Here is a 25,425-nt window from a genome sequence, read left to right as displayed (position 1 = left end):
ATCAGTCAGCTTGTCTTTGTAGTGAGTATCTGTATAATAAATAGTTATCCGCTTTTTTCTTTTGTATTTTAACAGAATGCCTGGTACCCAGTAAATAAAGTTAAGAACCTGTTAAGAACTGCAGTGAAGATTTTGTTCTTTACAGATTGCAGCAAGTCTGAGTTGAGGAAGTTCTGACAGATGCAAAATGTACACCTGTTGCAGGTGCACATACAGCGTAACCGGGCATGGCTGCGAAAACACACAGAAGGACAGGAGTTGAGTTCTTACTTACAAATATGGCACAAGTCAGGGTGTGCCAACTTAAAAAAAAAAGACTTAGGCATAAGCAACACTCTTTGTAGAAAGGAAAAGGACAGTATGGGGCATGCTAAAGTTGTGCAGAATTCCACATTTACCAAAAACATAATAAATAGTAATAGCTTCCTCCTCCCTCCCTGTAGAAAATCTAGGGAAAATTAGCTGATACTTTTGCTTTTTTTGGAGGGGGGATGGAATTATTATTACATGAATTTTTGTGGAATAAATATGCACAGCAATAGATGGCACCCTCGTCTAAATTAATAAAAAGAAAACCTGAGTAAGCCATAAGCACCCACCAAAAGGACAAAGTTTGCTAGCGTTTAAATAACGATTCCCTCCTCCTCCTCCTCCCTCAGCATACACACATGCCTGAAAACCAGGAAGGAGAAGAATGATAAATATACAAATGAGTCAAAAGACAAGTGTATTCAACCCTGAGAAGATGTGAACAACAACGTCTTTAATTCATCAAGCACCCTGGCTCTCAAAGGAACTAAATCAAGGTGCTTTATAAATTTCTACTCAAATAAAATATAGGGTTGATTTCATCTGCTACCCAAACACAGCAGCTATATATGACAGTATGAAACTCTGGGTAAGGATGTAAAATCAACAATGGATCCAATTGAAATCAGATATGAAATTTAGGGAGGCTTTCTGACTCCTTTCTGGTTGAGGAGAGTTGCACTAGTTGGTGCAGGCACAGGGGGCAACCCATTTCACCTCGGCTCTAACTACCAAAGTAGGGGGTCTCCAATGACTGTTCAGTGGTCAGAGCCACTCATTCATACAAAGCCATCACACCACCCATGAAGAGGTACTGGTTCAGAACCCACTCAGAAGAGCGCCACCTGATGAATCAATGACATCACTTCCTGTAACACCTGAACATTTTTTTATAGGCTTCTCAGTCAAAAGACTGGCCCAATCTGACTTGGCTTAGCTTATGAGATCTGATGAGACCACAGCACATGGTGGCATGGTTGTAACGATTAGCAGCATTCCAATAATGCCTAATTCCCAATATGAAGAAAAACAAGAATTAAAAAAAAAAACTTGTATAGGCCCAAGACATTCCTTTTTCATTTTTTTTTCATTTTTTTTGACTTGTGATGATGAACAAATCACTGCTACTAAGTCTCTGCCAGCTGTCATACTGGAATCCATCTGTTATTTTATAAATCAAATCTGATTCTTTAACATACACAAGGCTCCACCCACCAAAAAGGAGAGATGCAAAGTATGCTTAGCAACAGGGAGATGCTTCATGAGAAGTAGTTTGGGATTAACCATATAAACAAGTGGTCCATGTATGTACATTTATCATATAACACACACACACACAACAGAATTACAGTAAAATGTTTTAAAAATGCAGATGTAAAAACACACTTGCAGTTACTGTAATCACAAGATTAAAGAAGTACATTTATGTAGTAAGGAAGACAACGTAATATATAGCTAGGCAGGAAGCCTGACCAAGCAGTGCGTTTCTACATAATTACTAAATGTTAATTATGGCAAGAAAGGAGATTTGGTCATTCTCTAAGAAAATATCAACAAAATCCCACAGAAGTCATAAAGAAAAAGTAACTTACAAAGCAGTTTTTAGAAAGACCCAGATTTTTCTCAAATTCTCTATTCTATCAGTGTGGCCCATGTCTCGGGAGAGTCTGTCTCTGTAATGATCCTCTCTGTAGATAACATACATGAGAGTTTTAAAGCAAAGGTAAAACATAAATAAGGTTTTGGTTATTCTATAATAATAGGAATGACTTGTCTTCGAATACAAATAGAAATTCAAGGGTTTGTTGCATCTAAAAAAAGTATTAGGTAATAAAATAGCAGTAAAGTTAACTGACTTTAAAAATCTGTACAAATCAACACCTTTTTGAAAAATGTCATTCTTGGTTTATAGCAATGTTTGATTATTACTCTGTGTTACACTGTAGTTTTCATAAGAAGAAAAATAATTTAGAGACTAACATAAGAATAAGTAGAATAAGCTATAAAGTCCTGAGAAACGCACTGCCTGAAAAACTATTTTGTTACAAAACAGAATTTATACAAACACACTACTTGAGGCGAATGCCATTAAGAACCATGCAATTTTAAGGCAGTTAGTAAACTACAGAGATGACCACAGTTATGTGCTTGTGCATATGCATGTATAGATATATAATAAATGTACATGAAATTTGTGGCTCGTAACACTTAATGTAAAACATTTATACAGTAGAAATTCCAATTACAACTACTCTTTACAGCACTTAAAAAAGACATATCCTAACTGAAGCATACCCACAATTTCAACATAAATTAATAAAATATTTTAGAAAACTTCATATACCTAAGGTCAAAAACAGAAAAATATAAACTTTCTGTTCATATGAAAATGCTTTATAAGCATAAAACAACATGATGCCAAACCCATTTTATTCCAGTAAAACTATTTTTTAATGCTGGGTGGGGGGTTGTGTTTTATTGTACTATTCTATTAAGATAGTTACAGCCTGCTCAAAAATATACAGATATTGTCAGAAGCACTGTTTATATCATTTTATTATGGCATTCAAACCAAACTTGCATTTACTCAAATTTGTACCTTCTCATTACAAAGTATCTTTCTGTTGCTGAACAATTCCTATGTGACAAAGATATTCCCTTCATGGCTAATAATGGCATGCAATGTTATGAACCATGCAACATGAAAATGAAGACAGCAAGTACTTACGGATACATGGCCATTGTTGTCAATTTAACAAAGATATCCTTACTGGGGGCATCAGCAGTATTGCAAGTGAAGGCTTGTGGTGGAGGCATTTTGTGTTTCCTGCAGAAATCAGTAGGTGAAATACTGTATTCTTGTTTAACTTCATGCAGGTCTGACTTTGCAGCTACGATTAAGCAAGGTATTCTGCTGTCCATAAAGTGTTGCTATGGAATAAAAAATGAAATCAAAATCTGATAACAAGTTCAAAAATTACTATTTAATTAAATGTGAACCAAGCATTTCCTCCAGATGGGCAAAGCAACAGTAGTTTCAAAGCGAAAAAGTGAACCAAAAGGCAAAGATTGGCAGTGGTCTAGGTAAATCTCATATAATAAATAAGATCCAGATCACTTTTCCAATGCTGATGACAAAACAGACCTATACTGATTCCTTAGATTTATTACAATTAAAAAAAACATGTAATTAAAAACACACATTAAACACACATATTTTGAAATATAAAGAAATCCACCTAAATTCTTTTATAAAAACTACTTTCATTTTTTAATATCACCTCTAGTCCTTGAGCACATGCATTTTTATGTGTGTCTGTATAGTCGCAGTCATGCTGGACATAACCACTTAAAAATGTAATACTGTGTCCTCCATATTCTTCAGAATTCAAAACTATTTTTAATTTTACATTTATTGTTTTTATTTTTTAATTTAAATATTGCCTAACATTCCACTAGATTATTTTATCTTACTTCAGTAAATCATCGTCCATTGTTAGCCATCTTGATTATTTCCAGTTTTTTCCTGTTAAAAACAATGCTAGAATAAACACCTTTGTACATATAGCTTTTTACTCCTATTGAATCTTATTGATAATCCCTAAGTGACTGATAGACTTTCTAAGCTTCAGATTTATCCCTTTCCTCTGGCTGTTATTCTTGGTATATTTGGCAATATATAATCCATATGTACTACTCTTTTTTTTCATCAGAGAGAAGGCAGACATATGTAACTTTTAACAGCTGGGAAGAGCTTGCATTAATGTAAAAGTTCTCAATCAGGAATGCACCTCACAATCACATGTCGAAAACTTTCAGAAATATGTATGTCTGAGACTCTACCACTTTAGAACAAAACCAGAACCTTCAGGAATAGGGTAAAGATGTATGTATTTTTAAAATACACATGATTTTGTTGCATTTTTGTGGTTAGGAAACACCACACTGCAATTCCATAAAAAGTCCATATGAAGTTACATTCAGTCATAGTCTGTAGGAGCAACAAACCTTAAAAATCCTGGCACAGTATTCAAAGGATTTGGGATTGCTGACATCATATACCAGGCATACAACATCACAAATGATTTCAGCTTCAGTTAGAAATTCCGATTCTGAGATATCATGCAACTTGTAAAAGAAAAAGATAATGAAAAATATAAGTATCATAATATTGATATATTAAGTCATGATAGCTTATTACTTCCTTCCCTGGACTTCCTAAGTTTAAAAGTACTGGTTAAGCATAACTTTTCAGGCCAGTTTTAAAAGTAGAAAGTATAGACAAGGCTGGGCGCGGTGGCTCACGCTTGTAATCCCAGCACTTTGGGAGGCCGAGGTGGGCGGATCACAAGGTCAGGAGTTCGAGACCAGCATGGCCAACATAGTGAAACCCTGCCTATACTAAAAATACAAAACAAATTAGCCAGGTGTGGTGGCGGGTGCCTGTAGTCCCAGCTACTAGGGAGGCTGAGGCAGGAGAATGGCATGAACCCGGGAGGCGGAGCTCGCAGTGAGCAGAGATTGCGCCACTGCACTCCAGCCTGGGCGACAGAGCAAGACTCAGTCTCAAAAAAAAAAAAAAAAAAAAAAAAAAAAGAAAGTATAGACAAATAAGTATCTTCTGATTCTGCAGACTAAAAATGGTGATTAAGATTCTGTGGAAGCTTAGCCAGGTGCAGTGACGTGTGCCTGTAGTCCCAGCTACTGGGGAGGCTAAGGCAGGAGAATCGCTTGAGCCTGGAAAGCAGAGGTTACAGTGAGCCGAGATCACGCCGCTGCATTCCAGCCTGGGTGACAAAAGTGAAACCTTGTCTCAAAAAAAAAAAAAAAAAAAAAAAAAAAAAAGATTCTATGGAAGCTAGTATTAGTGAGTGACTAATGTGTGGGGGCAGGCCCTCTACATGCATTGTTTACATTCTGCAGATAAGGAGACGGGCTAGAAAGATTAAGTCAGCTGCCCATGGTACACATCTAAGAAGTTATCAAATCAAAATTTAAACTCAGATATGATTCTCAAATCTATTTTCTTTCTACCACACCTTTTCTCCCCACTAATCAAAAACAAAAAGCAAATGACTCTTTACAGTAAGGTCATTTTTGTTCTGTTTCACTGCCACTCTTCGGTGCTTATTATAAAATTTCTTAAATATTCCATCTATGCTATAATGATCTCCAACAAGAGTAAAATTCAGGGGTGGGCACTGTGGCTCACACCTGTAATCCCAGCACTTTGGGAGACTGAGGTGGGCAGATCGCTTGAGCCCAGGAGTTTGAGACCAGCCCGGGACAGGGTTTCTCCACGTTGGTCAGGCTAGGGTGATCCACCCGCCTCGGCCTCCCAAAGTGCTGGGATTAGAGGCATGAGCCACCACACCTGGCCCATATAACCCTCCTTCTACTGTATTTCATAGTGTCTTTTCAGCTCTTCTTTTGTACTTTTTTTATTGTTTGTTTGATTTTATTGCTCCTTGCAGAGCAGGGCTAACCCATAGGCAGTGTGCCTAGAGTAGCCTATACATTTTTAAGGCTAACATATTTGTTAAATACTCCCTTCCCTGCTAAATAAACTTGATTCAGATTACAGATAAACTACCAAGCACTAGCAGGGTTTTCATATTAATTTCTAGTCAATAGTACAGGAAATATTTTTTTAAAAAAATAGAAGTATGCAGCCATAAATAAAGAATGAGTTCATGTCCTTTGCAGGGACATGGATGAAACTGGAAGCCGTCATTCTCAGCAAACTAACACAGGAACAGAAAACCAAACACTGCATGTTCTCACTCATAAGTGTGGGAGTTGAACAATGAGAACACATGGACACAGGGAGGGGAACATCACACACAGGGGCCTGTCAGGGGGTGAGGGGCAAGGGGAGGGAGAGCATTAGGACAAATACCTAATGCATGCGGGTCTTAAAACCTAGATGATGGGTTGACCTATGCAACAAACCTGCACATGTATCCCAGAACTTAAAGTAAAATTTAAAAAAAAAAAAATAGAAGTAGAAGAAAGTAAAAGGGGAGTTCAGTTTTTTCGACTTTTTTTTTTTTTTGAGACGGAGTCTCACTTTGTTGCCCAGGCTGGAGTGCAGTGGCACAATCTTGGCTCACTACAACCTCCGCCTCCCAGGTTCAAGTGATTCTCCTGCCTCAGCCTCCTAAGTACCTGGGATTACAGGCACGTGCCACCACGCCCAGCTAATTTTTGTACTTTTAGTAGACAGGGTTTCACTAGGGCCAGGCTGGTCTCGAACTCCTGACCTCAGGTGATCCACCTGACTCAGCCTCCCAAAGTGTTGGGATTACAGGCGTGAGCCACCATGCCTAACCCATTTTTCTCAACTTTCTTATTGTGGTATAGCTAACATACAATTAAGTGTACCAACTTAATTTTTTTTTTAATTTTTTTAAATGATGAATTTTTATTTATATCTAAACCTATGTAATCATCACATGATAAAAATACTTAAAATTCTTTTTTTTTTTTTTTTTCTGGAGATGGAGTTTCGCTCTTGTTGCCCAGGCAGGCATTATCTTGGCTCACCACAACCTCCACCTCCTGGGTTCAAGCGATTCTCTTGCCTCAGCCTCCCGAGTAGCTGGGATTACAGGCATGAACCACCATGCCCGGCTAATTTTGTATTTTTAGTAGAGACGGGGTTTCTCCATGTTGGTCAGGCTGGTCTCAAACTCCCGACCTCAGGTGATCCGCCCGCCTTGGCCTCCCAAAGTGCTGGGATTACAGGCGTGAGCCACCACGCCTAGCCAAAAGACTTAAAATTCTAATGAATAAACCAGATGAAAAAAAATAAAATCAAGCTTGGCATGGTGGCACATGCCTGCAGTCCCAGCTCCTTGGGAGGCTGAAGTGGGAGATCCCTCGAGCCCAAGAGCTCGCCAGGGCAACATAGTGAGACCGTGTCTCTAAAAAAAATTAAATAAAAAAAAAATCACACAGAAGTTCTACAGAGAGTCATTCAATTGAAGCCAATTTGTTTTCAAAGAGTCATTTAAAAATGTACCCAATAATTAGTAATTTTTGTATGCCACAGAATTTCTTACCAACAAGTATTTCTCTTGTCCATATACATAAACAGTGTTAATCGCATAGTAGGATTTATGATCTTCACGAATTTTCTTCTGCCTCTGAAAACAGAACCGAAAATCTCAATATCTGCAGTAACTAGTTTTCAACAATATACAAACATCTCTGTGTATATGTGCAGGTGTGTTATAAATAAAAGGGCATTCTTCCCTACACTGTGTACTATTTATCAGTACAAAGGAGATATTGATTTTATGTTTCTTAGTTCTTAAGACCTAAAATAAAAGATGTATTTGTTCTGCATAAAGTACAAGCAGTAGCTAAAAAGGAAGGAAACTATCCGTATTACTGAAAGTATATTCTAGAGCCACCTGCTGGCAATCTTCATTATACCATAATTTGGTCTGATCGAGATTAATACCCATCTAGAAATATGTCGGCAGGGTGTGGTGGCACATGCCTGTAATCCCAGCACTTTGGGAGGCCAAGTAGTTCAAGACCAGCCTGGGCAACATGGCGAAACCCCATCTCTACTAAAAATACAAAAATTAGCTGGGCCTGGTGGTTCACGCCTGTGGTCCCAGCTGCTCCAGGGGCTGAGGTGGGAGGATCACCTAAGCCCAGGTGGTTGAGGCTGCAGTGAGCCATGATCATGTCACTGAACTCCAGCCTGGGCAACAGAGCAATGCCTCGCCTCAAAAAAAAAAAAAAAAAAAAAAAAGAAGAAGAAGAAGAAAAGAAATATGTCTTCTTCTTCTTACTCAAGGGAGTAGTAAGAACTAGATATCAATATTCAATTCAAAATATTTACTGTGCATTTACTTCATGCCAAGGACTGTGTTAGGTGCTTTCACATCTGTAGTCATTTAATGCCCATTTAAACACTGGTTAAAAAAAGACAAATGATAGCTAATATCAATGAAACAAAGACAGTTCAACAGGATTACTGTTACATTTAGACTGTACTTGACTAATACAGGCCATTGAGTTCTAATAATTATCTAAAAAGGTCAATGGCTATGAAAACATTATGTAAACTAGTAACTATAAAAATTTGTTGGATAAAATTGTATTTTACGAGAACTCTCACCATTAAGTTTCTTCCAAGAAGAGCCTGAAGAACTCCACTTTTCCCACAGTTTTTCACTCCAATTACATTACATCTGAACACATTTCTTTGAGTTTGTTTTTTCTGCAGGTCTATCTTTTTATCTCTTGTCACTAAAAATAATAATAATAAAAAACCCCACTAAATATGTACCACTTAGATTCACTAAGCCTCCATTCCACCTTTTGCAAAATAGGGCATTGCTGCTTATTATTTTTATGAAGTAGCTGATCTATAAACAAACATATTGTACAACAGTCAAGCTGTATGTGAATGAAGTACACAGAATGCAGAAGGGCCCCAGTTAGTGGAAAAAATGCATTTCTGAAAGTTGACTGGAATGTGAATTTCGAGTAACCAAACATTTATTTCATCATAAAATAGTATATTTTCATAAGGAAAATATCCTATAAATGAATGAAAATTACTAAGAATATAGCCAACATTATATTCCATCTAATTTTTTCTGTGATAAACTGTCACATATTATAAACTAAAAGATGCTATTTCAAATCTGCACTCTCTTGGAGCTGGATCCATAAAACGGAAAGGGACACACACTTTGGGGTTAGCCGTCCTTTCAAATGTAAACTGTAAAAGAGGCATGCCAGAAAACAATGCTGTATCATAGGGACAGCAAGCATCCCTTCCTGAGGTAAAGAGACCTTCTTAGAGCCGGGTGCAGTGGCTCACGCGTGTAATCCCAGAACTGTGGGAGGCCAACAGGGGCAGATCACAAGGTCAAGAGATTGAGACCATCCTGGCCAACACAGTGAAACCCCATCTCTACTAAAAATACAAAAATTAGCTGGGCATGGTGGTGCATGCCTGTAGTCCCAGCTACTTGGGAGGCTGAGGCAGCTGAATCGCTTGAACCCAGGAGGCGGAGGTTGCAGTGAGTTGAGATCTCATCACTGCACTCCAGCCTGGTGATAGAGAGAGACTCCATCTCAAACAAACAAACAAACAAACAAACAAACACAACCTCCTTAGGCTATACCTGAAGACTGAACTACAACAGACCTCACCAGAGATACTAGTGATAGTAGAAAAAAAACCGAAAATGATAAAAATATATAATTATGGGATAGTTAAATAAGTTATAGAACATCCATATTGTGAAACATTATTTAACATTAAGATATATAAAAGTATACCTATTGATACAGAAAAATGTCCACAATGTGCTGAGTGAAAGAACCTCATGGCTGGCTAGTGACTGTTTTCTTATTCTCTGGTGTTGAATTAAATACTGTCTAATTGGTTAAGTATTTTAAAGGGTACCTGCTCTGTCAATTTAAGAAAGGCTGTCTTCTTGTGCTAGGGCTTCCCATAAGATATGGCAGATTTTCCACCAACAGGGATATAAGAAACTCTTGAAATGATCAGTTCCTTAACTTGCTATTTCCATACATATGGTTTACTTTAAGTGGTGCACATTGCTTGGCAAGAATGCCTGGCTTACAAGATTTGTGAAAGCTGTATTAATACAGAAAACAGTTAATACGCATTATTTTTAATGTTTAAAGAAAATTAAAACGCAAGATCAACTGGTAAATCCTTTAATGCCCACAGCTCTTCCTCATTTTCATCAGTGGAGTAACCCCAGGGAGTAGACTTGAAGCAAAGTCTCTACTTTCTTTCTTTTCATAAACAATAAAATCAAGCACCTCAACACAAAAGAAATGATCTGATCACAAGGAAAACTAATAGAGTGTAGATGGAAGACTAATGAAGATGAGTGTATTCTTACTCTTTGTTACATTTGAAAATGGAGTCTTAAAAAATATCTCTAATCATGAGCTGAACAGTATCTAGATACTTACCTGTAACAGCTGAAGCTTGAGACTCTTGCTCAGTCAATATTGAATAGCCTAGATAGCCCAAATATTCCAGGCACCGCTGTACATCTAAATAAGTCGTGAGCCTATGAAAGAAAAGAGTTTAAAATGTGAAAAGTTCCTAAACGAATATTTATGGGGAAAAAAAAGCCAATAGCTAAAAAAACTTTATGCACCAGACCTAGATAATTTTTGTCTAGACTACTTTAATTTCCTATGAGCCCAACCATAGTTTTTCTTACACTGCCATTCTTTTTTTTTTTTTTGAAAGATAGGGCCTTACTTTGTCATCCACGCTAGAGTGCAATGGCACAAACATGGCTCACTGTAGCCTTGAACCCCTGGGTGCAAGTGATCTTCCTGCATCAGCTCCCCAAGTATCTGGGACTACAGGCATGTGCCCCCAAGCCTGGCTAATTTTTTTTTTAATTTAAAAAAATTTTTTAGTAGAGACAGGGTTTCGCCATGTTGCTTAGGCTGGTCTTGAACTCCTGAGCTCAAGTGATCCATCCACCTTGGCCTCCCAAAGTGCTAGGATTATAGGTATGAGCCACGCTGCCTGGCCCTACACTGCCATTCTTAATGCAGAGAAGAAAGGGAGAAGAATGCAAGATGGTGGGTAATTCCTCTCTCTACTCCATCTGTCCAGAAACACTAAGCTTACAAACATAAGCGGTGAGTGGCTGGTAAAATCTAGATAGAGTGGGGATATTTTATGCGATCTACCTTCCAAGTTAAAAACAAACCAAAAAAAACAACCTCCTTAGGCTATACCTGAAGACTGAACTACAACAGACCTCACCAGAATACTAGTGATAGTAGAAAAAAACCCAAAAATGATAAAAATATATAATTATGGGATAGTTAAATAAGTTATAGGACATCCATATTGTGACACATTATTTAACATTAAGATATATAAAAGTATACTTATTGATACAGAAAAATGTCCACAATGTGCTGAGTGAAAGAACCTCATGGCTGAGGCAGGAGAATGGCTTGAACCCAGGAGGCAGAGTTGCAGTGAGCCAAGATCACGCCACTACACTCCAGCCTGGGCAACAGAGTGAGACTCCATCTCAAAAAAAAAAAAAAAAAGAGTTCATTAAAAACAAACAATAACAAAAAAACAGAATCTTCAGTGTCAAGTAAAATATGCTTCACCCCATATTCTGAAAGAGTAAGAATTGTGCAACAGCAATGACATTTCCAATTCCCTTAATCAAACAAAAAAGTGCTAAAATGTAGTTCAATTTTCAAAGACTTACTACTTTTTCCCTATATATCATTCAAAAGAAAACAATCCCTTCCTGATAAATTTATAGAACATTTATAGTTCATCTTAGAGATATCAGCAGCTAATCTTGCTTAGAGGCAATTATGATTGAAGAATTTCATAATGCCTCACAAGCTTACAAAGTGACAAATGTAATACACCATAATTTTAAACTATTTGTAACTCTAGAGGAAAGAGGTGAGCTCTATACTCACGTCCACTGGGAAAGGAATCCCTGGTAGGTTATCCAGCCTCTTTCATTGGTACAAACTGTGTTATTCACATCTGGCCCCCAAGGTATGTAAGGGAAAACTTTAAATAAATCTTTAAGCTCATCAGGTGACAAAGCACAGTCTCTATCCTGAAGAAACACAAGGATACAGAATGTTTAGATATCTAAGATAATAATTCCCAACTCAAAAGCCCCCCAATCTAGTAAAGCTATGCTTTTTAAAACTACTTAATAAATGACAACAAATTTTACATTTTATCAAGAAAATTCCTCAAATGTATGTAAGAAAACCTATAAGAGAGTCTATTAGAAATTAGACATTTTCATCTTGAGAAAACAACAAAGGTAAACAGCAGAAAATATTTTTGCGAATTTAACTTAGAGAGGTTAAGCAGTTTTTGGCTATGTAACATACACATCCCATAGCTCAGGGAACAGAGTTATATCATCCATAGAAAAATGTTTTACTATATATAATGGAAAATTACAGCTAAAGGCTTACCAAATCATGCTTGTCAAAGGTGCTTTGGAGAAATAAATATGCATGATGATTTAATTCAGTAGTGCAATCAGGAGGTATTTTCAGCCTGTTGAAAAAATTCAAGAGTAAAATAAATCATTAATCAAATGTTAAAATTTAAGAAATTAATATAAAATTGCAACAAGTCTTTTGTGAGGTAACACCATTTACAAGAATATCTTCACTTGGTATCATTTAGACTTTCCCAAGGAAACTCTCTGGAGTGATTTTGGCACTCTTCAGAAGAGTCATAATAATGCTCATTCCAAAGTAACAACATTTTCTTTTTTTCTCTTTTTTAAATTCAGACAGGGTCTCACTCTGCTGCCCGGGCTACAGTGCAGTGGCACGATCACAGCTCACTGCAGTCTCGACCTCCTGGGCTCAATCAATCTACCCATCTCAGCCTCTTGAGTAGCTGGGACCACAGGCGCACACTACCATGCCTGGCTAATTTTTGTATTTTTGTAGAGATGGGGTCTCACCATGTTGCCCAGGCTGGCTCAAACTCCTGGGCTCAAGCAATCCACCCACCTTGGCTTCCCAGTAAGTGTTGGGATTATAGGCATAAGCCACTGTAGCAGGCCCATTTTCTTAAATATCAGAAAAGCAGGTTAATATAAAAAATTTACAAATAATACTGATTTACCTGTCATGGGTTTGTTCTTCCTACAAATTTTAAGTCATACTTATGAGCTTCATATTAATTCCAATATTGTAATGAGTTGAAAATGATGCAGAGAAGTTATTTCTACCTGACTTGACCTTTTGGACCCACCCTAAATTCTGTTTAATAAACATTAACCAAATGCACTGAGTGCTGGACATGGTGACTCATGCCTGTAATCCCAGCACTTTGGGAGACCGAGGCAAGGAGGATCACTTGAGCCCAGGAGTTCAAGACCAGCCTGGGCAACAAAGTGAACTCCATCTCTACAAAAAATTTTACAAATTAACTAGGCATGGTGGCACATGCTTGTAGTCCCAGCTACTGGGTAGGCTGAGGCAGGAGGACAGGTTAAGCCTGGGAGGTTAAGGATGCAGTGAGCCGTGTTTGCACCACTGCACTCTAGCCTGGGTGACAGAATGAGACCCTGTCTCAAACAAACAAACATAAAAACAAACAAAAACCAAATGTACTGGCTGGGCGTGGTGGCTCACGCCTGTAATCCCAGCACTTTGGGAGGCTGTGGCAGGTGGATCATTTGAGGTCAGGAGTTCGAGACCAGCCTGGCCAACATGGTAAAACCCCGTCTCTACTAAAAATATGAAAATTAGCCGGGTGTGGCCAGGCACGGTGGCTCACGCCTGTAATCCCAGTACTTTGGGAGGCCGAGGCGGGCAGATCACGAGGTCAAGAGATTGAGACCATCCTGGACAACACGGTGAAACCCCGTCTCTACTAAAAATACAAAAAAAAATTAGCTGGGTGTGGTGGTGGACGCCTGTAGTCCCAGCTACTCGGGAGGCTGAGGTAGGAGAATGTCGATGAACCTGGGAGGCGGAGCATGCAGTGAGTCGAGATCACGCCACTGCACTCCAGCCTGGGCGACAGAGCGAGACTCCATCTCAAAAAATAAAAAAATAAAAAAATAAGAAAAAAGAAGAAAAAAGAAAATTAGCTGGGTGTGGTGGCACGCACCTGTAATCCCAGCTACTCGGGAAGCTGAGGCAGGAGAAGTGATTGAACCCAGGAGACGGAGGTTGCAGCGAGCCAAGATTGTGCCACTGCACTCCAGCCTGGGTGACAGAGTGAGACTCCATCTCAAAAAAAAAGCAAATGTACTGAGCTAGGTACTAGGGAGACAAAAATGAGACAGGCTCCCCACTTCTAAGGAACCACAAACAAGTGGGAGGTGGACCACAAAGACATTTCTTTTTTTTTTTATTTGAGATGGAATCTCACTCTGTCGCCAGGGCTGGAGTGCAATGGTGCGATCTCGGCTCACTGCAACCTCCACCTTCCAGGTTCAAGCGATTCTCCTGCCTCAGCCTCCCGAATAGCTGGGATTACAGGTGCCCGCCACTACACTCGGCTAATTTTTTGTATTTTTAGTAGAGATGGGTTTTCGCCATGTTGGCCAGGCTGGTCTCGAACTCCTGACCTCGTGATTCACCCACCTCAGCCTCCCAAAGTGCTGGGATTACAGGCGTGAGCCACCACACCCGGCCCCCAAAGACATTTCAACAGAATGAGGCAGGAGCTAAGAATGTGCAAGCCAAGGATGCTAGGGAGCCACATGAAAAGGAACATCTCTGGCCTGGGGACTGGGAAAACCTCAACACTGCTGAGAAACATTGTCATCTGAATTGAGACTTGAAGGATGAGAGGCATTAATTAGGTGGGGGCGAGAGGGAGAGAGGTGAAAATAGCATGGACAAAAGCCTGGTGTAGAAAAGAACATATGCTTGGTGGACAACAAATAGTTTGGTATTGACTTCCAGAATGAAGGCAGGGAGTGTGCATGAGGAGAACAGATCATGAATGACCTTGCAAACCATGTTAAGAAGCTTGGATTTTAGACCAGGTGTGGTGGCTAATGCTTGTAATCCCAGCACTTTAGGAGGTCAACGCGGGAGGATTTCTTGAGCCTGAAAGACAGAAACCAGCCTGGGCAACAAAGGGAGACCTCATCTCTACAAAAAATTTAAAAATTATCTGGGAATGGTGGCCATGTGCCTGTAGTCCCAGCTACTTGGCAGGCTGAAGTGGGATGATTGCTTGGGCCCAGGAGGCCGAGGCCACAGTGAGCTGTGATCATGTCACACCACTGCATTCTAGCCTGAATGACAGACAGGGCAAGACCCTGTCTCAAAAAAAAAAAAAAAAAAGCAGCAGCTTGGGTTTTATCCTGTGTCTTGAAGGGAAGTGACAGAGCCAAATTTTTATTTATTTATCCACTACTCTAGCAGTAATGTGAAGGATAGATGCAGAGGGTTTCATAAGGATAGAAATATTCGTGTAGTAGCTCCAGGGAGTTATTTTGCAGAAAATTAAAGGCAAAGAGGATTAAAAAAAACTGAAAGAGGTGATTAGTGTAAGCCACAATGCGACAAGACGTGGAATTTCCTAACTGTCATACTTAAGAAAGCAATAAGCAACCTCCCATAGAATTCATCTATTCACATAAATGACACAGAAAAGAAAACCTTATGAGAGAGTCCTATAACAAATTCATTCATTTAGTATATATTTATTGAAAAATCTAGGAAATTAACTTGAGCCAAGATTTAGTAACTTAGTCAAAGGAAGTTTCAATTTAGAACTGATTAATGGACTAGGAATCTAATCAGAAAGAACTTTGCTTCCTCAATAACGGAGAAGTAAAAAGCAACAGTCTTTCTGAACCATTACATAGACAGCTGAAGGTGCTATGCTAAAATAAAAGAGCACTATGAAGGTAATGTGCCAATGAAAAAATGAAGAATGATTGAAAACTCTGAGGCCAGATCCTGGGAAGTCACCATCCCTGAAAAGCTCGCTTCCCTGGGGTATAGAAGAAGGATCCTGCAACAAGGCGGTCTCTTGTTTGGGGATGGCACTGGGTCCATTTTTAAACAAACAGAACTTAAACACAGCATTATCAAAGGAAAATAACTGGCCAGTCATGGTGGCTCATGTCTGTAATCGCAGCACCTTAGGAGGCTGAGGCAAGAAGATCATTTGAGGCCAGGAGTTCAAGATCAGCCTAGGAAATATAGTGAGACCGCTTTTCTACAAAGAAAAAGAAAACAAAGAAAGAAAGAAAAAAAAGCCAGGCATTGTGTTGCACACCTATAGTCCCAGCTATTTGGGAAGGTCAGGTGGGAGGATTGCTTGAGCCATGGAGTTTGAGGTTGCAGTGAGCTAGCCAAAATGAGACCTTGTCTCTTAGGGAAAAAAAAAAAAGGCCGGGTGCAGTGGCTCACGCCTGTAATCCCAGCACTTTGGGAGGCTGAGGCGGGTGGATCACGAGGTCAGGAGATCGAGACCATTCTGGTTAACACGGTGAAACCCCTTCTCTACTAAATATACAAAAAATTAGCCGGGCATGGTGGCGGGCGCCTGTATTCCCAGCTACTTGGGAAGCTGAGACAGAAGAATCGCTTAAACGCGGTGGGAGGTTGCAGTGAGCCAAGATCGTGACACTGCACTCCAGCCTGGGTGACAGAGCGAGACTCCGTCTGAAAAAAAAAAAAAAAAAAGAAAGAAAAAGAACCACAAATAGACCAGTCGTTTAGGAAAATACCTACTTCAACTTAAGCTAAGAACAGGCTATAAAACTGAGGGAGAAGAACAATGTAAGAAAAATGTGAATCAACATATTTCTGAGATCTCTTGACTCCCAAAACAAGTTTGTTGTCTAGCATCTTATTTTTCCTTCCTCAGTAAAATGAACAAAAAAAGATACTTGTAGTCTCGACAAGAAGAGGAAAAGTTTGAGCCATGAGGGAATCAGTGGTTCTCAACTGGGGATAATTTCACTTCAGAGGGTACATTCGGCAATTTCTCAACAGTTTTGGTTGTCACAACTGGAAGTGTCACTGACATCTACGGATGTGGTAAAGATCCTATACTGCACAGGACATCCACAACAAAAAATTTTCTGGTCCAAAATGCCAATAGTGCTGAGGTTGAGAAATCCTGCTATAAAGCTCTGCTATAATTCTAAAATATTCCCAATTAGCTTGAAGCCCACCTCCCCATGTGTGCTAAATCAACCTTAAAAATATTTAACAAGTAAAATCATTACAAAACCAAAGGTGACTGGGCATGGCTCAATGCCTTTAATCACAGCAATTTGGGAGGCCAAGGTGGGAGGATCACTTGACTCAGGAGTTCAAGACCAGCCTGGGAAACATAGTGAGATCCTGTCTCAATAAAAAATTAAACAACAACAACAACAAAAAAAACAAAGGTACATACAGGGGGAACAAATATTCAGGTGTCAAATCCAGGTCATCATCATAACCAAATCGTCGAAGCACAGTCCAAGTAGTTTCGTGTCTCCCTCTCTGGATAAAAAGTGTGTGTAAAAAGAGAAAACCTGAAATAAAGTAAATTAGTAAATAAAGTGTACAGAGTCACATAGGAGAAAAGCATGTAACATAATGGCAAGAACCAGATTCATGAACATACGGATGCTAGCTTTGCATTGTAAAGCTCAAAACAAAACAAAATTCACAAGTATCTCAATGAAACAGAGCTGATTTCAGAATTGTTTCACATATACACCCAGCTCAGCAAGAGAGAGCACTAGAGGAAATGGCCAACATTGCATCTCAAGGAATATACTGACATGCACAAAGTTATATGAGAGTAGTGTTCTACAGATCTTTGAGCTTATTTTTGTCATGGAAAATTCTGGTTTTCAATCTCATTAACTTCACTGTGCCTCTATAATATATTCTCCAGGGAACATTCTATACTGGTAAATTTGACTCATAGACAAAATTCCCTAAAAATAATGACTATTTAAAGGCTGTTTATGAGTAGGAAGAATTTTAAGATACTTTTTTTTTGTTCCAGATATCTCCTTCCATCAGGTGGACCTCTGTATCCTTGAGATCCAACCAATTTCCCTACCTCTAATTTATATTGGTAGTAAAGATGATAATCCCCAACAATGGCCTGTCCCTCCCAACTCATAAATATCCAAATCAGACTTTAGGCATACTAGTAAATATTAACATTTCCTTAAAGTATAAATAATGCAATAAAGACCTTCACCTTCTGCCAAATTTTGAAAATATTAAGTTTCAAAAGGGGGAAAAATACCATTTACCCACCTTTCAGGGTCAACCCACTGTCAGCCACACCATCACTTATATGTTTTCTGACTACATTCTTGACATCCTCCAGAGCTTGAGGAGCTAATGGAGTGTTGAAACAAATCCTCTAGCAAAAAACATAAAAATATATTTAAAAACAAACCAGCGTTAAAACCACAAATAATATAAAATGATAATCTACAAAGCAATATTAAATCCATGAATTGCAACCAAAGAAACATATTCTACATTAGGAATAGTCACCACTTTTTTAAATGTATTATTTAAGTAAAACATGGGCTGGGTGCAGTGGCTCACGCCTGTAATCCCAGCACTTTGGGAGGCTGAGGCAGGCGGATCACGAGGAGATCGAGTCCACCCTGGCCAACATGGTGAAACCCCGTCTCTACTAAAAATACAAAAATTAGCTGGGTGTTGTGGCGCATGCCTGTAGTCCTAGCTACTTGGGAGGCTGAGGCAGGAGAATCGCTTGAACCCGGGCAGCGGAGGTTGCAGTGAGCCGAGATGGCGCCATTGCACTACAGCCTGGGTGACAGAGCGAGACTCTATCTCAAAAACAAAAAAAAAAAAAAAAAAAGTAAAACATGTCATTCTTAGAAAGAAACATTCCCAACTCCCTCCATCCTGTTTCTAAAACACAGGGCTCTTTCTGTAGCTATGTTATTCAAAACCAAGAAAGCAAAATGATTCAGAGTTCAGACTCCAAGTCATCCTTAACACACCCACTTTATACCATAAAATGAAGCTATCAGAATCCCCTCAATTCCTGAGCATAAGAGAGTTTAGGCATATATAGGTTGATGTGAAAGATAGTTTTATGAGAAAGAAACTTATGTTTATAACATACTGTTCTTGTTGTTTAAGCTAACACATTTTACAGCTTTCAGCAAAAAAAAAAAAAAAAAAAAAGATACGCAAATGTCTGAAATAAAGGACCATTACCTGAAAGAAGTTGAGTTCAGCATCATTGAGAGTACCATCATTATCTTGATCAGATATTTTAAATATACGAGTAAGGGCTTTTATACAAGCTGGTTTCATCTATAAATCATTGAGAAAAGAAATAATTGTTTAAACTGTGATTTTCATAAGCAATGCTGAGAATAATTCTGATTATTTTTACATAATATCAAATACAACCAACATGGAAAAATGAACTAAAGCAAAGCCATTTACTTTATATGCAAGCCTTTTTAAGTAAATGAGGCAATATTTGCTGGGACTGATATTTGGAATGGTCAAGCTCTCCCCTTAAGACCACAAATCCTCTAAGAACAGGGAAAAGAGAAGTTCATCTTTAGGAGGGATTCATTTTTCTAGTCACAGAAAGAAGAACTGTTTATTTATTTATATCTTCCCTCATTCCATAGAGGATATGAACTGACTTTTAAAACTACTAAGGACTTTCCCCTCAACTTCTGATTTCTGATCATCAGACTTCTGGTAGCAGAATGAGATTTGTTTTGATCTTTCCCCTGTGTGTATGTTAAAGCTGGGAAATAAAATACGCTTATTCACAAACAAGTGGCAAAATTATCACTGGTTAATAAGTGTAAAAAATTTTTACTAACTTCCTAGTATAAGAATTATTTATACTTTAAAAAGAATTTTGCCTTTTGTGACTCTAAAACTTTTATGACTAATGCTGCTGGAAATATATTCTGACAATTTCCTTCATTTTTGTTTTATGATTCATCATGGATAGAATAAATATATGACTATTTTAAAATAAGGCCCACATGCTTCTACACTGTATAACCACTATAGGGTAATCACTATCAACAATTTTGAGAATAAAACTTCAAGGAGAGCTCTGACTTTTGTCTAAGCTTGGAGATAGATCTTTATTTAGATCATCTAAATCAGAGAAATGAGATGTCAAGGTGAGGAAATATAAACTTATTAACTTACAAAATGGTAATGATGACAGCTTTGATCATGCTATCAAACTCAAATGCAGAAAAGAAATTCTTTAAAAAATAGGAAAGAAAATAATTATCTTCCAAACATACACAGTTAACCCCTTCTATTCTTGTTTTAAATGGGGTCTCTGGGAGAGTAATTTGATATAGTGAGAAAAAGATAAAACTTAAGATACAAAGAGAAAGAAACGAGAAAAAGAAGTCAAACATTTAGAAAGCATTTGAGGCTGGGCGCGGTGGCTCACACTTATAATCCCAGCACTTTGGGAGGCCGAGGAGTGCAGATCACCTGAGATCAAGAGTTCGAGACCAGCCTGGCTAACATGGCGAAACCCTGTCTCTACTAAAAATACAAAAGTTAGCTGGGTGTGGTGGCATGTGCCTGTAGTCCCAGTACTTGGGAGGCTGAGGCAGGAGAATCGCTTGAACCCGGGAGGCAGAGGTTGCAGTGAGCCGATATTCCATCACTGCACTCCAGTCTGGGAGACAAAGAAAGACTCCGTCTCAAAAAAAAGAAAGCATCTGACGGGGCTTCCCTTATAAAAGAGTACTAAATGGACTATAACATCTATAATCACACATGATTTATTCTTTAAAATAATGAATGGTAAGATAATGCTTCTATAAATGTGATCCTGTTAGTCATTAAAGATTAATAAAAACTACATTGTTATATTTTATTTACTCTCCTTTTAAAAAAGTTTAATAATTTAAATGTTTCCAAAAGAAGCAATAGCAAGAATATACAAAACAGAACCTAATCTTTTATTTTGTCTAAGTGATTTTTCCTCACATAATAAAGGGATACATTTTCAAAAAGTAATTTTAAGAAAAATAAACAATGCACTTTTCTCCTTTTTTTTTTGAGACAGAATCTTGCTCTGTCGCCTAGGCTGGAGTGCAGTTGTGCGATCTTGGCTCACTGCAACCTCTGCCTCCCAGGTTCAAGCGATTCTCCTGCCTCAGTCTCCCGAGTAGCTGGGTCTATAGGCACCTGCCACCATGCCCAGCTAATTTTTCACATTTTTAGTAGAGACGGGGTTTCACCATGTTAGCCAGGATGGTCTCGATCTCCTAACCTCATGATCTGCCTGCCTCGGCCCCCCAAAGTGCTGGGATTACAGGCATGATCCATTGCGCCCGGCCAACGATGCACTTTTCATTAAAGCTTGAAATGCAAAGCTAAAGAGCTCTAAGGTATTGGCCCAATGTCATATTTAAAAACTAACCACCTGAAAATGTAACACCAAAAAAGGACTACTAAAAAGTATTAAAAATTCTACTTAATAAAGCTATAAAAAATTATGGTATTTGGCTGGGCGTGGTGGCTCACACACTTTCGGGAAGCCAAGGCGAGCAAATTACTTGAGGCCAGGAGTTTGAGACCAGGCTAGCCCCATCTCTACTAAAAATACAAAAATTAGCCAGGCATGGTGGTGCATCCCTGTAATCCCAGCTACTTGGGAGGCTGAGGCAGGAGAATCATGTGAACCTGGGAGGCGGAGGTTGCAGTGAGCTGAGATCGTGCCATTGCACTCCACCCTGGGAGACAGAGACTCCATCTCAAAAAAAAAAAAAAAAAAGAAAAGAAAAGAAAAGATATTGTTGTTGTCTAAATAAAAGATTCCGTTATAGGCAATTTAAAGTTTGCACTTGTGTAAAACAAGGTATAGTTTAAAAGTTGAAAATTTTACCTCTCACTCAGGTCCACCTAAGAACTGAGTAACAGATGGTGGTAGATATTTTACTCTTGTGGGATGGGGGTGGGGATGAGGGATTAACAGATTAGCAGAACTAATAACAGGCCCGAGAACAAAGTAACAATTAAAAAACTGAGAACAAACTAATAGAGGGGATTTCATATACTGCTAGGCTAAGGCCTCAGAGGTAAATTCTTGTAAGAGTTCCCACAGTATTAAGACTGTTTCCCAAATTTCCTGTATCATAAATACAACACCTAGCTGAATCAGAATGGAATCTATGTGTTTTTTTGTTGTTTTTTGTTTTGTTTTTTTCTTGAGGTGGGGTCTCCTCGCTCTGTCGCCCAGGCTGGAGTGCAGTGGCACGATCTCGGCTCACTGCAAGCTCCGTCTCCTGGGTTCATGCCATTCTCCTGCCTCAGCCTCCTAAGTAGCTAGGGCTACAGGTGCCCGCCACCACGCCCAGCTAATTTTTTTGTATTTTTAGTAGAGACGGGGTTTCACCATCTTAGCCAGGATGGTCTCGATATCCTACCTCATGATCCACCCGCCTTGGCCTCCCAAAGTGCTGGGATTACATGCGTGAACCACTTTGCCCGGCCAGAATCTATGTTTTTAACAAGTAACACTTAGTGACTATTACGATGAGGTAAGTTTGGGAAATACTGGATTCGGAGTAAATTAGAAAGAAGAATCCTAACTAAGGAAAAGTAAACCAGGAATAAGAGTAAACTAGCACCAGATTAAGGGATAACTCAAATTAATTATTTATACCAGGAGTTGGCACATTTTCTGTAAAGGACCACATAGCAAATATTTTAGGCTTTGGGGCCAACAGGCAAAATCAAGCATGTCATGTAGGTACTTACATAGTAAGAAAGAAATCAAACTTCTACAAAGTTTTTTTGACAAAACTCAAAATATAACTGAGTACAGTTTTGCAATACAGATTTATTAATGAGAAGAATGAAATTCTTTTTGGAAGGAAAACATTTTGCTTTGTTGGGGTTTGAAGTTAGTGTTGTCCACCATGAAAATTAATTGCAAATGTTTATATGTTAATGCTGATCTGTAATGAGATTTTACATGTCCCATCTTTGAAAATGTCTCTTTGCACAAATATATACTGCCAATACTGGTACATATCCACAAACCTATGACTTTATAGAGCACAAGGTATTTATAAAATTATATTTGATTATTTTCTTGATGTTTGCCTTTTAGCATGTCATTACACTGCAGATTAATCAATTCCAATTGAAGGTTAATGGAAACTCAATTGCATAGTTAAGTGGATTACAAAATATGGAAATTTCCTTTGCATTTGCATCAAGGTCTAAAAAGATGATGCTGGAACTGTAATTTGAACCTGGAATATTTATCTGCTTTCCCATCTAAAAAACACTTTATTATTCTTTTCATGCTTTGGCATGATGAGTATGCAATGAATATAAATAAAAGGTCCTGGTAGAGTGATATACATAGTACTTGAAATGCTGTCTAGTGTGTCAGCGCAATTAGTAGTGCACTCAGCAGCAGTGAGAAGAGATGAGAGTAGCACATATAAGCTCTATTGAAACTATTAAACTTTGCCTTTGCAGCACACAAACAGCCACAGATAACATAAAAGAATGACCATGGCTATGTTACAATCAAACTTTATTTTTATGAAATGATAAAATTTGAATGTAATATAATTTTCACCTATCACAAAATATTATTTGACTTTTTTCAATCATTTAAAAATATATGGCCAGGCACAGTGGTTCACACCTGTAATCCCTGCACTTTGAAAGGCCAAGGCAGGCAGATCACCTAAGGTCAGGAGTTCGAGACCAGCCTGGCCAACATGGTGAAACCCCGTCTCTACCAAAAATACAAAAATTAGCTGGATGTGGTGGCACATGCCCGTAGTCCCAGCTACTTGGGAGGCTGAGGCAGGAGAATCACCTGAACCCAGTGAGCTGAGATCACACCACTGCACTCCAACGTGGGCAACAGAGCGAGACTCCATCTCAAATAAATAAATAAATAAAAATATAAAATGTTTCCTTAGTGTACAGACTGTGAAAATAGGTGGTAGGCCATGAGTCATTGCTAACCACTCACTTATACTATAAACTTTTCCTGAAAGATATCTGCAACTTTTTATTCTTAAAAACAATACCTCTCCCGACAAACAGAATCAAAGCAATCACCTCAAGCTGGGTGTGGTGGTGTGGTGACTCACACCTGTAATCCCAGCTACTCAGGAGGCTGAGGCAGGAGGAGGCCAGGAGTTCAAGACCAGCCTGGGCAATATAGCAAGGACCTGTTTCTTTCTTTCTTTTTTTGAGACAGAGTCTCAATCTGTAGCCCAGGCTGGAGTGCAGTGGTGCAATCTCAGCTCACTGCAACCTCCACCTCCCAGATTCAAATGATTCTCGTGCCTCAGCCTCCCGAGTAGCTGGGATTACAGGTATGCGCCAATATGCCCAGCTAACTTTTGTATTTTTAGTAGAGACAGGGTTTTGCCACGTTGGCCACGCTGGTCTCGAACTCCTGGCTTCAAGTGATCCCCCTGCCTCAGCCTCCCAAAGTGCTGGGATTACAGGCATGAGCCACTGCACCCGGCCCCCGCTTCTTAAAATAAAAATTACCTTTAATAATAATTTAAAAAAAGACAACCCAACTAAAAAGCGGGCAAAGGCAGCTACTCGAAAAGCTGGGGCAGAAGGACTGTTTGAGGCTAGAAGTTCAAGACCACCTTGGGCAACTCAGCGAGACCCCCTCTTTACAAAAAAAATTAAAAATTAGCTGTGTGTGGTGGCATGCACCTGTAGTCCCAGCTACTTAGGAGGCTGAGTGGGAGGACTGCTTGAATCCAGGAGGTTAAGGCTGCAGTGAGCCATGATCATGCCACTGTACTCCAGCCTGGATGATGGTGAGACCCTGTCTCTTTAAAACAAAAATGGGGGCCGGGCGCAGTGGCTCACGCCTGTAATCCCAGCACTTTGGGGGGCCGAGGCGGGCGGATCACGAGGTCAGGAGATCAAGACCATCCTGGCTAACACAGTGAAACCCCGTCTCTACTAAAAATACAAAAAAAATTAGCCGGGCGTGGTGGTGGGCGCCTGTAGTTCCAGCTACCCGGGAGGCTGAAGCAGGAGAATGGTGTGAACCCAGGAGGTGAAGTTTGCAGTGAGCCGAGATTGTGCCACTGGACTCCAGCCTGGGCGACAGAGCAAGACTCCGTCTCAAAAAAAAAAAAAAAAATGGGAAAGGACTTTGAATAGGCAATAGACGTTTCTCCAAAGAAGATGGCCAATAAGCACATGAAAAATTACACAACATCATTAGCCATCAGGGAAATGCAAATCAAAACAATGAGATCCCAACCACATCTACTAGGATGGCTATAATAAACCAAAAAAGAAAAGTAAAATAACAAGTGTGGCAAAGATGTGGAGGAACTGGAACCTTCATACACTGCTGGTGGGAATGTAAAATGGTCCAGTCATTGTGTAAAATAGCTGCTGGTTCCTCCGTATGTCAAATATACAATTACCATGTGACTCAGCAATTCAACTACTAAATGTACTCAAAAGAATTTAAAACAGGCCAGGAGTGTTGGGTCATGCCTGTAATGCCAGCACTCTGAGAGGCTTGAGATGGGAGAATTGCTTGAGCCAGGAGTTTGAGACCAGCCTGGGCAACAT

General features: G+C 39.2%; 1 protein-coding gene across 22 annotated transcripts in view; it reads right to left on the bottom strand.

Annotated features, from left to right (window-relative positions):
- RHOT1 (ras homolog family member T1) overlaps positions 1 to 25,425 on the bottom strand; it is an 83,226-nt gene that overhangs the window by 14,381 nt on the left and 43,420 nt on the right. For 8 of the 22 annotated variants that reach the window (NM_001033568.3, XM_047436364.1, XM_011524973.3 and 5 more), the window contains 12 exons: positions 19,048 to 19,146; positions 18,103 to 18,211; positions 17,240 to 17,360; positions 12,316 to 12,400; positions 11,797 to 11,942; positions 10,291 to 10,391; positions 8,447 to 8,577; positions 7,374 to 7,457; positions 4,318 to 4,437; positions 3,038 to 3,240; positions 1,902 to 1,997; positions 109 to 231 (listed from right to left, as the gene is read on the bottom strand). In NM_001033568.3, the coding sequence (NP_001028740.1) occupies positions 109 to 231; positions 1,902 to 1,997; positions 3,038 to 3,240; positions 4,318 to 4,437; positions 7,374 to 7,457; positions 8,447 to 8,577; positions 10,291 to 10,391; positions 11,797 to 11,942; positions 12,316 to 12,400; positions 17,240 to 17,360; positions 18,103 to 18,211; positions 19,048 to 19,146 (1,418 nt within the window). The remainder of the gene's footprint in view (positions 1 to 108; positions 232 to 1,901; positions 1,998 to 3,037; positions 3,241 to 4,317; positions 4,438 to 7,373; positions 7,458 to 8,446; positions 8,578 to 10,290; positions 10,392 to 11,796; positions 11,943 to 12,315; positions 12,401 to 17,239; positions 17,361 to 18,102; positions 18,212 to 19,047; positions 19,147 to 25,425) is intronic. The other 14 variants (NR_110083.2, NM_001033566.3, XM_047436361.1 and 11 more) reach the window with 3 other exon arrangements.

Source organism: Homo sapiens, chromosome 17 (genome assembly GCF_000001405.40).
Source record: "Homo sapiens chromosome 17, GRCh38.p14 Primary Assembly".
Classification (NCBI taxonomy): domain Eukaryota; kingdom Metazoa; phylum Chordata; class Mammalia; order Primates; family Hominidae; genus Homo; species Homo sapiens.
The sequence above is the reverse complement of the archived record's forward strand: the minus strand, read 5'-3'. Positions and strand labels throughout refer to the sequence as shown.